Consider the following 15,387-nt stretch of genomic DNA (forward strand, 5'->3'; position numbering starts at 1 on the left):
ATGATATATTTTAACTATTAAGTAATTTTTAATTATAACAATACTGGCCATAAATATGCGTGTTCATACAATATTTCTGAAAGGAAATTTGAAAATATGTATGCGGAAATTTAAAAAATTTATACCTTTTAATTCAGGATCTTCATTTCTATGTATCTCCTGTGAAAGATGTAATGACTATGTTCCCACATGTTTACCCAAGCAATATTTTGAATGTTGGGAAATAACCTAAATGCCCAACAACAGGTAACATATGAAACAGTTGTGGCGTTAAGAGGTATTACAAGAGGAACCAGTACCTGGATTTCAACAAATCTCTTGAATCTGCTATTGTAGTGACTTGAGATAATATTACCTAGAAACTAACCAGAAGAGTTAAGTGGACATAATAAAGCCTATTTATAATGTTATAATTATATGTAAGTTTGGATTAACCTGTTCATTACAAGGTGGCTATCTATGACACTGTTGCTTTATTGTTCTGTTTTCACATGTCTAAAACTGTTGAAGCTTTTAGCAGAAAACATATGCCTCAATTATTTTTTAGTGTAAATCATGTAAATTGGAGTTTGTAGACAAATACACACATATATTGTTCACTCCTGATTATTATAGTAAGTTTGTGTACACAGACATACACAGAGATGCCCACTTTAAAAAGTGACTTTATGCAAACCATAATAAACCCACTCTTCAGAATATAATGCAGGAAGGAAAACGCTTTCCCACTACTATACACTTTCAATAGGATATATAATCCTACCACTTGTAAACTGAAAACTTTACTAGTTCTGACTATTGCAACTTAGTCAATTGTTTAATCAGGAATCCATTTTTGGGGTACCTACAATGTTTCAAGTACACTAAAAATACAGAGATAAATACAAAATTAACAATCTTTTTAGGAGATTAAAATAAGCAGGCAGATGGTCACTTAAAAGTTTAATTAATGTCTAATAATGGGAGACTTTAACACCCCACTGTCAACATTAGACAGATCAACGAGACAGAAAGTCAACAAGGATACCCAGGAATTGAACTCAGCTCTGCACCAAGCAGACCTAATAGACATCTACAGAACTCTCCACCCCAAATCAACAGAATATACATTTTTTTCAGCACCACACCACACCTTATCCAAAATTGACCACATAGTTGGAAGTAAAGCTCTCCTCAGCAAATGTAAAAGAACAGAAATTATAACAAACTATCTCTCAGACCACAGTGCAATCAAACTAGAACTCAGGATTAAGAATCTCACTCAAAGCCGCTCAACTACATGGAAACTGAACAACCTGCTCCTGAATGACTACTGGGTACATAACGAAATGAAGGCAGAAATAAAGATGTTCTTTGAAACCAACGAGAACAAAGACACCACATACCAGAATCTCTGGGAAGCATTCAAAGCAGTGTGTAGAGGGAAATTTATAGCACTAAATGTCTACAAGAGAAAGCAGGAAAGATCCAAAATTGACACCCTAACATCACAATTAAAAGAACTAGAAAAGCAAGAGCAAACACATTCAAAAGCTAGCAGAAGGCAAGAAATAACTAAAATCAGAGCAGAACTGAAGGAAATAGAGACACAAAAAACCCTTCAAAAAATCAATGAATCCAGGAGCTGGTTTTTTGAAAGGATCAACAAAATTGATAGACCGCTAGCAAGACTAATAAAGAAAAAAAGAGAGAAGAATCAAATAGACACAATAAAAAATGATAAAGGGGATATCACCACCGATCCCACAGAAATACAAACTACCATCAGAGAATACTACAAACACCTCTACGCAAATAAACTAGAAAAGCTAGAAGAAATGGATACATTCCTCGACACATACACTCTCCCAAGACTAAACCAAGAAGAAGTTGAATCTCTGAATAGACCAATAACAGGCTCTGAAATTGTGGCAATAATCAATAGTTTACCAACCAAAAAGAGTCCAGGACCAGATGGATTCACAGCCGAATTCTACCAGAGGTACAAGGAGGAACTGGTACCATTCCTTCTGAAACTATTCCAATCAATAGAAAAAGAGGGAATCCTCCCTAACTCATTTTATGAGGCCAGCATCATTCTGATACCAAAGCCGGGCAGAGACACAACCAAAAAAGAGAATTTTAGACCAATGTCCTTGATGAACATTGATGCAAAAATCCTCAATAAAATACTGGCAAACCGAATCCAGCAGCACATCAAAAAGCTTATCCACCATGATCAAGTGGGCTTCATCCCTGGGATGCAAGGCTGGTTCAATATACGCAAATCAATAAATGTAATCCAGCATATAAACAGAGCCAAAGACAAAAACCACATGATTATCTCAATAGATGCAGAAAAAGCCTTTGACAAAATTCAACAACCCTTCATGCTAAAAACTCTCAATAAATTAGGTATTGATGGGACGTATTTCAAAATAATAAGAGCTATCTATGACAAACCCACAGCCAATATCATACTGAATGGGCAAAAACTGGAAGCATTCCCTTTGAAAACTGGCACAAGACAGGGATGCCCTTTCTCACCGCTCCTATTCAACATAGTGTTGGAAGTTCTGGCCAGGGCAATCAGGCAGGAGAAGGAAATAAAGGGTATTCAATTAGGAAAAGAGGAAGTCAAATTGTCCCTGTTTGCAGACGACATGATTGTTTATCTAGAAAACCCCATCGTCTCAGCCCAAAATCTCCTTAAGCTGATAAGCAACTTCAGCAAAGTCTCAGGATACAAAATCAATGTACAAAAATCACAAGCATTCTTATACACCAACAACAGACAAACAGAGAGCCAAATCATGGGTGAACTCCCATTCACAATTGCTTCAAAGAGAATAAAATACCTAGGAATCCAACTTACAAGGGATGTGAAGGACCTCTTCAAGGAGAACTACAAACCACTGCTCAAGGAAATAAAAGAGGACACAAACAAATGGAAGAACATTCCATGCTCATGGGTAGGAAGAATCAATATTGTGCAAATGGCCATACTGCCCAAGGTAATTTACAGATTCAATGCCATCCCCATCAAGCTACCAATGACTTTCTTCACAGAATTGGAAAAAACTACTTTAAAGTTCATATGGAACCAAAAAAGAGCCCGCATAGCCAAGTCAATCCTAAGCCAAAAGAACAAAGCTGGAGGCATCACACTACCTGACTTCAAACTATACTACAAGGCTACAGTAACCAAAACAGCATGGTACTGGTACCAAAACAGAGATATAGATCAATGGAACAGAACAGAGCCCTCAGAAATAATGCCGCATATCTACAACTATCTGATCTTTGACAAACCTGAGAAAAACAAGCAATGGGGAAAGGATTCCCTATTTAATAAATGGTGCTGGGAAAACTGGCTAGCCATATGTAGAAAGCTGAAACTGGATCCCTTCCTTACACCTTATACAAAAATCAATTCAAGATGGATTAAAGATTTAAACGTTGGACCTAAAACCATAAAAACCCTAGAAGAAAACCTAGGCATTACCATTCAGGACATAGGCGTGGGCAAGGACTTCATGTCCAAAACACCAAAAGCAATGGCAACAAAAGCCAAAATTGACAAATGGGATCTAATTAAACTAAAGAGCTTCTGCACAGCAAAAGAAACTACCATCAGAGTGAACAGGCAACCTACAACATGGGAGAAAATTTTCGCAACCTACTCATCTGACAAAGGGCTAATATCCAGAATCTACAATGAACTCAAACAAATTTACAAGAAAAAAACAAACAACCCCATCAAAAAGTGGGCAAAGGACATGAACAGACACTTCTCAAAAGAAGACATTTATACAGCCAAAAAACACATGAAGAAATGCTCATCATCACTGGCCATCAGAGAAATGCAAATCAAAACCACTATGAGATATCATCTCACACCAGTTAGAATGGCAATCATTAAAAAGTCAGGAAACAACAGGTGCTGGAGAGGATGTGGAGAAATAGGAACACTTTTACACTGTTGGTGGGACTGTAAACTAGTTCAACCATTGTGGAAGTCAGTGTGGCGATTCCTCAGGGATCTAGAACTAGAAATACCATTTGACCCAGCCATCCCATTACTGGGTATATACCCAAAGGACTATAAATCATGCTGCTATAAAGACACATGCACATGTATGTTTATTGCGGCACTATTCACAATAGCAAAGACTTGGAACCAACCCAAATGTCCAACAATGATAGACTGGATTAAGAAAATGTGGCACATATACACCATGGAATACTATGCAGCCATAAAAAATGATGAGTTCATGTCCTTTGTAGGGACATGGATGAAATTGGAAACCATCATTCTCAGTAAACTATCGCAAGAACAAAAAACCAAACACCGCATATTCTCACTCATAGGTGGGAATTGAACAATGAGATCACATGGACACAGGAAGGGGAATATCACACTCTGGGGACTGTGGTGGGGTCGGGGGAGGGGGGAGGGATAGCATTGGGAGATATACCTAATGCTAGATGACACGTTAGTGGGTGCAGTGCACCAGCATGGCACATGTATACATATGTAACTAACCTGCACAATGTGCACATGTACCCTAAAACTTAGAGTATAATAAAAAAAAAAAGTTTAATTAATGTCATAAATTATGATGATGATGGGGAAAATAGGGATATGACTGCATTTATGGAGCCACTTCCATGTGCCCAATACTAAATATGAATAAATGCTTTATGTATTATTGCATTTAATTTCACACAAAAACTAAATGATAGATCATATTAAAGCCCATTTTACATATAAAGATATGAGAGAGCTTAATAAATTGTCCAAAGTTATCCAGGTAAGTTGGAGTAGACGTTAAAAGTTGATTGGGATTTTGTTAAGATACAGTTGATAAGAATGGGGCCTTGACATCCTGACTAACTAGCTGTGCAACCTTGAGCAAGTGCTCTACTATCCTTAAGCTCTGTTTTTCTCCTCTATGAAATGGGGCAATCATAGTACTAATACATATGGTTATCATACAAATTAAATTAGATAATATAGCTAAATTGCTTAGTACCATGAACGCATATAGTAATGTGCAATTTCAGAATTGTCATTATGCACGTAGAATGTTATTCATCACTATGATTTTATGAATCGACTCAAAGCTTGTGTTCTTTTCACTATTAAACACACTGTCTACATATAAGTACAAAAATAAGGGCGTGCGAAGTAGGTGGTTACCTCAGCCCAGCATTGATAGAAGAGGGCTGTGAAGGGGAGGGAGGAGGAAGGAAGAGCTGGAATGAATCCTGCAGAGTTCACAGCGAAGGTGCGGAGAATGATGAGGATGGCATTGAGTAGGTGGGGAGGTCAATTTCATACTGTGAAAGATAATTCCATTACATTTAATTCAGCCAACATCTGCAGAATACTTACATTGCTCAAAGCAGAGAGAAACATGATTTAACTTCCACTGTAGAATTATAGTGTAGTGAACAAGTCAGACAGGTATACCACTATCTGTTTAAATTTGGGGTGAGGGAAGCAAGTGTATGTGGTGAGGGGTTTTGTGAAGTTCTCATCCCAGGCAATGGTAACATCAAAACAAAGAAGCAAGACAAACTAAAAGCTAGATGGAAAAGTCTTTATCAAAAAGAGAAAAAAAGAAACAGAAAGAGAAATTTTAGAATTGTCATAGCCAAAGGGTCTCAAAAGCAATCATTAAACCTGGGACATGAAACCAGAAACTGGGAGTCAGAAAGCTAGAAATGTGTTGAAACAAGCTGAGAGTAACTGGGTGGGGTAAGGAATTGGGAGAGGCAAATATTTTGCATAGCTGTTTGTGCTCATGTTTGAGTTTTATGAAAATAACATAATACTTTTTAATTAATATAATGTAAATCTTCATTTTAAATTGAATTAAAAATTATGAACGGCTTTTCATTAAGTTAAATGAACACATTAAATTAAGTTAATGAATTAGTGTTCACAATCTCCACCACAGGTCTGCCTCTCTCTATTCTCTTTGCTTCTATTATGTGGGGGAGGTTTCTTGCTTCATGGATTAGTTTCTAGGCAGGAGAAACTGAGTAATGTGTATAACCCAGAGGGTAAGTTAACAGATCTAATTAAGAGCTAATAAAAAGGAGGAAAAGGAAGAGGCCTGAGGAATTTTTGTAAAGCAAGGGGTTTAGGTGTCTGAGAGGGCGTGTGAGAGTAGGGAGCAGAGAGAGACATCGAAGAGCAAAGGCAAGAGGGAGAGGCAAAGGTCCAGGCACAGGGCTGTTGTTGATAGAATTGGAAAAGAGTTGCAAAGGGATTTTTGATGTGGTGTCATGGAGGCCTCAACTGGAAACCCTCTTTCTTCCAAGAGATGGAAGCAAAGATTGGAATTGCTTTTCGATTATTTCTGGTTTGCTGGACTATCCAGACAAGGTGCATTGTAACCTGCATGTTTCCGTTGGGGTTAGCAGTAGAACTCAGATAGCTTCATCTCTTGGGAAATAGATATCAAAGAAAGATCCAGAGACAGAAAGCTTTAGAAAAGGAAAGAACAGGTAACCTCAGAAGAAAACTATGTGCAAAATTACCAAGATTTCCAAATTTACATTAATCCATCGATAGTGGAAAAAGCAATGACTTTCACGTACTTGTGTTGTATTCATAAGGGTCATGCCATAGCTTCGGATGTGACTAATTAGGGAGACCAGGTTTATTTGAGGTTTTTATTATTTGAGAGTGAAACTATAGCCAGATGTAATAACCATGTTATTAATGATCCCAAGATGCAATTTTTTTCCCATACTCAAAGTGCTTTGTTATATTAGAAGCAAGGAAGAGCGTTAGTTTTCACTTCTACACAACAAGGTTTCATAATCTATTATAAAAGCCTGTAGCAGGCTGGGTATGGTGGCTCACGCCTGTAATCCCAGCCCTTTAGGATGCCAAAGCGGGCGGATCACTTGTGGTCAGGAGTTCAAACCAGCCTAGCCAACATGGTGAAACCCCGTCTCTACTAAAAAAAAAAACAAAAATTAGCCGGGCTGTTGTGGGCTGTAGTGCACCTGTAGTCCCAGCTGCTCACGAGTCTGAGGCAGGAGAATTGCTTGAACCTGGGAGGCGGAGGTTGCAGTGAGATGAGATCGCACCATCTCACTCCAGCCTGGGTGACAGAGACAGGCTCCAGCAAAATAAATAATAAATAAATAAATAAAGCCTGAAACAATAAGCAGAAATGAACTAGAATGGGCCAATGCTACAAGAAACTAGGAAACAAAAGGAAACTGCAGAATCAGCAGAGGCAGACAGCAACGCAAGGTGTAAAATAGAAACTCCCTTGCCACCCAAGTGGATAGAAAACAGTTTTAGACAAACATACTTTGTCATTAATTTAACTCCTTTGAAAGCCAAAATAAGATGCCTCAAACCTCTCCTTGGGATTGGAAGTTGCGACTTGAGCAAAACTTTTGTTTTCCCTTTTTATAGTTTATATTTGTGTGTGTCCAATATCAACTGCATCTATAATTCTGTTATTTTGTATTGTCCGTATGCACCACAGTGCACATTCACTTTCCCTTCCATTGCTTCTTAAACTTTGCAATCATTTGGAGGAAACCATAAAAAATAAGATTTTGTAAATGTTTTTTTCGAAATGCCCTGTGTAAACGCATTGTTCTTAGAATGATGAGGCTTCCTACATGTGTACTTGCTGGGCCTGCATTCCAAAAATGTTGCAAGAATGCGTGCACTGCCATTTTGCCACATGACACAGCAGTCGCGTGATGTGCTGTCATGACAAATAGGCAGGAAATGTGGTTTGCGTGTGGAATGAGCTTCCGGTCTTTCCCCAAGGTTAGAAGGATACAGTATTAAAGAGGAGTCCTGGGTCAGCAGCTCTGTTTTGATGTGGCAATTATTGACGCTCTGCTGCTCTTTCCCGGAAGGTAGAGGGCAAGCCAAAGGGAAGGAGTTGGGGGGCCAGCAGTTGATGCCTTGAGCACAGATCCTATGGTTAAAGGAGGAGGAGTGGGGACATTTGTTACTGAACCTTCTATTCCACCTAGAGATCCGAAAATACATTTGGGTGGTTTTGAGGTAAGGGAGCAAAGGAGCCAGCCCTGTCCAGCCTGGTATTTAGGTATGATGAGGGCTCAGGTATTGCTCTAGCCCCATAATCAGAAAGTCAGGTAAGGTTTTAAGTCAACTCTATCAAGAAATTTGATTCAATCATGCAATCAATGATTCAGCCTAAGTTGATGAATCACTTACTGTGTGTCAGGGCACTCACTGGGTGCTGGGAAACATCAGTATGCAGTCACTTAATTTAGAATTTTTCTGCGAGAGTCACTCTCGTTAGGTTCCTTTAGATCCAAAAACAACTTAGGAGGAGGCTGTCTGTTTTAGGTTGAATTCTCCTGAAAGCCAGCTTAAGCCCAGGATTCATGTAGAAGTTCTTAATGAAGGAAGTGCCCCCAGAAGAAACCAGAAAGGGTGTAAAGGAAGCAGCACAGGAAAGGAAATGAAGCCGAATGAGGGTGATTTTGGGTGAAGTCTCAGACTTGGACTGATCCCTCTGAGAGCTCTAGGGGGTAATATCTTTGAGATTTTGTACCATACCAGAATAAAAGAGTTGGGGTTGTGAATTCCCACACCAGTCAACTATTGGCTATGGGCTTACCATGGGAGACGTAATACACCCGGCACTTCCAACTCACATACCAGAGACATGGCTCTAGCACCCAATGGAAATATGCTGAATGTTGCAGGTGCAAGACAGCAACAAAGCAGACAGAGGCACATAGACAAGGCACCAACAGTGTCCACTATACCCTGACAGTGTGGAAAGTTGTAGATAGGATGAAGAGAAAGAATACACACACACACACACACACACACACACACACACACACACACACACGGTAGAGACTTACTACTCAAAGTGTGATCCTCAGACCAGCAGCATCTGGCCGAATGGTGATCTATCACCTTCCAGGAGCTTGTTAGAAACGCAGAATCTGGCTGGGCACAGTAGCTCACGCTTGTAATCCCAGCACTTTGGGAAGCCGAGGAGGACAGATCACTTGAGGTCAGGAGTTCAAGATCAGCCTGGCCAACACTGTGAAACCTCATCTCTACTAAAAATACAAAAATTAGCCAGGCGTGGGGGTGCACACCTGTAGTCCCAGCTACTCAGGAAGCTGAGGAAGGAGAATCGTTTGAACCTGGAGGGGTGGAGGTTGCAGTGAGCTGAGATCATGCCACTGCACTCCCGTCTGGGCGACAGAACAAGACTCTCTCAAAACAACAAAAACAACAGCAACAACAACAAAAATGCAGAATCTCAGGTCTCACGAAAGACCTGGTTCATCAGAATCTCATATTAATAAGATCTCCCCAACATTTGTATGCACATTAATTTTTAAGAAGCTCAGCCCCAGAGTATTAGAAAACATAATTTGCTGATTTTTTTTTTTTTTTTTGAGACAGAGTTTCTCTCTTGGTGCCCAGGCTTGAGTGCAATGACACGATCTCAGCTCACCACAACCTCCGCCTCCTGGGTTCAAGCGATTCTCCTGCCTCAGCCTCCCAAGTAGCTGGGATTACAGGCATGTACCACCACACCTGGCTAAGTTTTGTATTTTTAGTAGAGATGGGGTTTCTCCATGTTGATCAGGCTGATCGCGAACTCCCGACCTCAGGTGATTTGCCCACCTCAGCCTCCAAAAGTGCTGGGATTACAGGCGCGAGCCACCGCGCCCGGCCAATTTGCTGACGTTTTGCACTGCAGGAAGAATAAGCTTCCAAGCCAGAGTTGCAATGTGGTGGCCTGAGAAAGTTCTCAGTCCAAAGATTCCTTGGCCTAGCAGATGAAGCCAGGAGGAAGAGAAAGCATTCCCAGCTGAAAGCAGGGTTGTGCCCGCTTTCCTACTCAGTGCAATTGTTCCAGGTTTGCAGGTCCCAGGTTCCAAGACTTTGCGGTCTTCTTTTGTTCACTTGGAACCGATATCTTTTGGAGGTGGTGAGTGTTGCGGGGCTTTGTGGAGAGAGGCTGAGGAGTAGGGGTTTGGGTGTGGGTGCAGGAAAGAGCAAATATAAAATAAGGCAAGAATTAGAGCTGACCCTACAATTTAAGCTTGAAAAACATTTTGGAAAGTCACAAGTAAATCACTTGACTTAGATATGCATCATTAAAGAGTCATGACACAACTCATACAAGAAGGGACTGTGGTAAAATATGGTAGCCACAAAAAGGCCCCCCAAATATTACAATGTCTCTTCTACAATGTTGGAAATTTCTATTAGTCACAATGGGGGTCAGTCAACTGGGATATCATTGTCATGGGAGGGCTACTACAAGGAACTTAGGGAAACATCTGGCTAAAGATGGCAAATTAAAGACACTCATTTAACCTCAGGTCCCTTCTAAAACGAGAGAATAATTAGCAAAGTTTTCTTATTGTTGCTACTGTTGTTTTAAAGCATTAACCTAGGAAGATAAAGGGAATTGAAGAGTATGCAACAGTCATCCCTTTTTGAATGCTGTAGATTGGTTATTATGAATGGTAGAACCAAAAAAGTTTGATGCTAGAAAGGAAGCTATTTGGAAAGTAGAAAATAAATTCAATTTACCCATGGAATATTTTTAAAACTGAAGAATCAGTATCAAGTACCTCAGGAATGAAGGGTTGAAAACAAGTTAAAAACAAAAAATTGGCATTCTTTTGGAGAAGCAGTTGGACTGTCAGATCCCCTCGCACACTCCACACAGTCAGCTTAGCGACCCTCCCCTGCAGGAAGGCAGGTGATGGAGCTTGATTCTCCAGGGAGAGTTAAATAGAGGGTGACACTCCAGATTGCAGTGCAACAGACAGAGATGGGATCAGGGTTGGCATACTGAAAAAGGAGGAGTAAGTAAAAGTTTAAATTCTGAATTCTTACATAGGCCTTACTGGGCTCCAGAAATCTGGCAGCCATCATTCTCCAGGGACAAGATTGGAATAACCTTCTCAGAGATCCAAAAATAAGAACAATGGGGATTTCCCAAAGAAACAGCCCAGCTAGATCATTCTACATTCAACACTTTTCTCCCTTCTTCCTAGGTTCCCTTCCAAGCAGAACTGCCAATTTGCCTTTTTGGTGTCCCATTCTAAAATGAGTAGACTGCAGAAGCATTTAAGGAGCATGTATAAAATGGAAGTATGACATCAAAATATTTTTTTAGGTTGAAGATGTTTCTCCAAGGAGCTGCCAGAGGGGCTAGGAAACACAGCCTAGAAGGGTGGAAGAGTTAGTGTTCCACACAACAAATATGGACCAGTGAGGGGCAGGACACTAGAATAAACCTGTAGATAAAGTCTTCTCTTCTTTTTATGCAAAAGACTCCTCCAGGGTTCTCTATTCCCATGCTGCTTCTCTAAGATGTCCTGTGTGTGTGAACATTTGGCTGGTTTTTCAAGCAGTAGTCACCTAGGTAAGGAACCACTTGATATCAGTTTTCCTTCTTTGGCATCACTTCTGATCTTCTTTCACTCTTGACACTGTGGAATTGGAATCTAAAATAACCATTAGAATGACAGCTTTGTCTTGGGCTCTTTTGTTGGGTAACACAAAATAATATACTTGGGGACCTGAATGAACGCATGGAGCAGACCACTCATCCTCTGCCAACGGACTCCCATTAGACCATGGAGTGATTGAAAATGACATTTTATTTTATTAATGGATAGGTATTTTTTACTTTTTATTATGGAAACTTCCAAATGGAGACAAAAGAAGAGATAATAGTTTAATTAACCTCAAGGTACTCCTTAACTAACTTCAGTAATTATTACCCCATAACCTCTCTTGTTTTACCTATACAACTGCTTTCTTTCTCCCTCAACTTTGATTATTTTGAAGCAAATCCTAGGAATCACTTCATTTTATCCACAAATATTTCAATACATCTCACTAAATGTAAGGACTCTTTAAAATTATAACACAAATTCTTTATTGTAACTAAAAAACAATCTATAGTATCAAAAAGCCATTGTTCAAATTTGTCCACTTGATTTTTAATTATGTCTTTTTGTAGTTGCTTTATTCAAATCAGAATCCAAATAAGATCCACAAATTGCATTTTTGATATAGGTTTTATTTATTTTGATCTAGATATTTCCCCCTTCTTTTTGTCCTCTCAATATAATTTTTTGAAGAAAATGAATAGTTTGTCCTAAATATTTTCCCACAAATTTCCATTGTTTTGTTGATTCCATCCTTGTGGTGTTATTTAACATATTCCTCTCTTCCCTTGCATTTCCTATAAACTAGCAGTGAGAAAAAGACTTAATTAGATTCAGATCTCCTCCCTCCCTCCCTCCCTCCCTCCCTCCCTTCTTCCCTCCCTCCTTTCCTCCTTCCCTCCTTCCTTCCTTTCTTAAATTCCTTCCTCCCTTTCTTTCTTTCTTTTTTTGGTCAAAAATACTTCATCGGGGAGGGGGATTATACATGTCCAATTTGAGACATTAATATCTGGTTGGCTTTCCTTTTGTGATATTAAGATTCAACATTGAAATCATGTGTGGTCAACCTGACATTATGAAATTTCTTTTTAGCCTTTTAGCCTAATGGACTTAGCAATAATTGAAGGTATGATGTAGACCCTTTACTTTATTACAAATTGCAAAATAGTGATGGTTTAATTTTGTCAGTTCTTCTTCATTTACTAGTTATATTTCTAGGAAGAAAAACTCTTCCTCCTCAAGGAAAAGTGTGATGAATATTTTAATAATTTATATCATTTACCAGTTTCCAGAATAATAATCTGGTCTATAGTATCAACTGAATTTGACTAATGGAGTTTTATATTTTTTCCCCTGTAAGTATCATTTTTAAGTCATGGACTGTAATATATTTAAAATTTTAAAATTCACTACCGTTATTATTGTCTTTCATGCTCAAAGTTCCTCAATTTTGGCCACTGGGAACTTTTTCAATTGGCTCCTAGGTCCTCTTGACAAGATTTTAGTTGCCTTCAATGGCCTCTTTGCTTTCTGGTATGACAGAATAATCCCAACTCATCTTCTATATTGCTTACCCCATACCTAGAATTTATAATTTTTTCAAGTATCCCTCATCCTCTATTTTAAATTTAATTTTTTTAATTGTTTTAACTTTTAAGTTCAGGGATACAAGTGCAGGTGTGTTACACAGGCAAACTTGTGTCATGGGGGTTTGTCATACAGATTATTTCATCACCCAGGTATGAAGCCTAGTACCTATTAGTTATTTTTTCTGACCCTCTACCTCTTCCCACCTTCCACCCTCTGAGAGGCTCCAACGTGTTGTTCCCTTCTATGTGTCCATATGATCTCATCATTTAACTCCCACATATAAGTGAGAATATGAAGTATTTGGTTTTCTGTTTCTGTGTTAGTTTGCTAAGGATAATGGCCTCCAGCTCCATCAATGTCCCCGCAAAAGACATGATCTCATTCTTTTTTATGGCTGCATTGTATTCCATGGTATATATATATAAACCAAATTTTCTTTACCCAGTATATAATTGATAAGCATCCCTAGTCCTCTTTAGAGGCAAAAGTTTTGTAACTTAATACAAAATATTTTTCTGAGTTTGGGATAGAAAAGTTTTTTTTTTTTTTTTTTTTTTTTTAAGATGGAGTCTGTCTCTGTTGCCCAGGCTGGAGTCCAGTGGCCCATTGTCAACTCATTGCAAACTCTGCCTGCCGGGTTCGAGTGATTCTTCCACCTCAGCCTCCCAAGTAGCTTGGATTACAGACGCCTGCCACCACGCTCTAACTTTTGTATTTTTAGTAAAGAAAAGGTTTCACCACGTTGGCCAGGCTTGTCTCGAATCCTGTGACCTCAAGTGATCCACCAGCCTTGATCTCCCAAATTGCTAGGATTTTGCTACAGGCGTGAGCCACCACACCTGGCCAAGAAGACATTTTTTTAAAGACATAAAATGCTAAGCGGACGGGCGCGGTGGCTCACGCCTGTAATCCCAGCACTTTGGGAGGCCGAGGCGGGCGGATCACGAGGTCAGGAGATCGAGACCATCCCGGCTAAAACGGTGAAACCCCGTCTCTACTAAAAATACAAAAAATTAGCCGGGCGTAGTGGCGGGCGCCTGTAGTCCCAGCTACTTGGGAGGCTGAGGCAGGAGAATGGCGTGAACCCGGGAGGCGGAGGTTGCAGTGAGCCGAGATCCCGCCACTGCACTCCAGCCTGGGCGACAGAGCGAGACTCCGTCTCAAAAAAAAAAAAAAAAAAAAAAAAAAAATGCTAAGTAAGATGAATGTGACAGCATCAAAAGTCATCTTAAATGAAGGTTAAAAATGGCAAATTAGAATATTTGTGCAACCTATATAGCTAGCAAAGCTTAAATATCCAGTACATATAAAGAAGTCCCATAAGTCAATAAAAAGACAAATAACAACAAAAAAAGCCTTTCAAATCTTCTCCAAAAATTTTAAGTAAAAATTTCACAGAATAGGAAATATACATCATCATGATATTATGAAATATTAAGAGCTGTTCAATCTCTTCAACATTCTGAAAATTGCAAATCAGGACATGCCACCTTATACATACTATAATGGCTTGTCAAAAATTAAGACATTTGACAAAATTAAGTGCTGGAGAGGTGTGTATTAGAAATGTCTTTGTATATTGTTGATGGGAATATATATTTTAAAAAGCATGTCAGAAAACAATAACTAGAAACAGCCTAAATATGTATTGACAGGAAAAAATGAATAAATTATGATACTTTAATTATTTCAATGGAGTAGTAAAGAGAAAGTGAAATATACCTACAAGAAACAACTGGCTGAATTTTGAAAATATAATGTAGAATTCTCTAGAGGACTTGTAACATTTTAGTAAATAATTTGGCATTCTTTTCTATATACACTAGAGAAACTCTTGCATTTCCCATGCGCATGTTCAGAGTTTCTCTAGAAGAGTCCGTATCCTATAGCATATGGCCCACCACAAGTATTTTGTAGGTGAAATTGAGTTAGAACACAGCTATACCAACTTGTTCATGTCTGCTTGCCTATCACAAGGCAGGCATAAGTGGTGGCAACAAAGACTGAGATATTTACTATCTGACCCTTTTACCAAACAAGTTGGCTGGCACCCTCTCTAGAATATTTATAAGGTAATGTCAATTTTTATAAAGTTTACACACAAACAATACTAAACAATATACTATCTGGGCATACTTTCATGGATAAAGATATAAAAATAAAACTAGAGAATAATGAATATAAATTCAGAAGAGTGTTTACTTCAGGTAAGGATGGAAAAGCTGATTTCTTTCTTTGGGAGAAATCCATAGTAAATGGAAGTTAATAGAAATAGTACCTTCTATGCATTAAATAGTATATTAGAAACATAAAAAAATTAAAAAGACAAAAGGAAATAATTCAAGAAAGTTCCCT

At 38.9% G+C, this 15,387-nt stretch overlaps 1 annotated feature.

Annotated features, from left to right (window-relative positions):
* Positions 7,310 to 8,509: an enhancer, noted in NCBI's record as "BRD4-independent group 4 enhancer chr18:61536385-61537584 (GRCh37/hg19 assembly coordinates)". NCBI's record gives its function as "activates an origin of replication core promoter dependent on BRD2, P300/CBP, MED14 and CDK7 cofactors, and independent of BRD4, by STARR-seq in HCT116 cells {active_cell/tissue: HCT116}" and the evidence as "EXISTENCE:reporter gene assay evidence [ECO:0000049][PMID:35650434]".

The sequence above is a fragment of the Homo sapiens genome, chromosome 18, assembly GCF_000001405.40.
Source record: "Homo sapiens chromosome 18, GRCh38.p14 Primary Assembly".
NCBI lineage: Eukaryota > Metazoa > Chordata > Mammalia > Primates > Hominidae > Homo > Homo sapiens.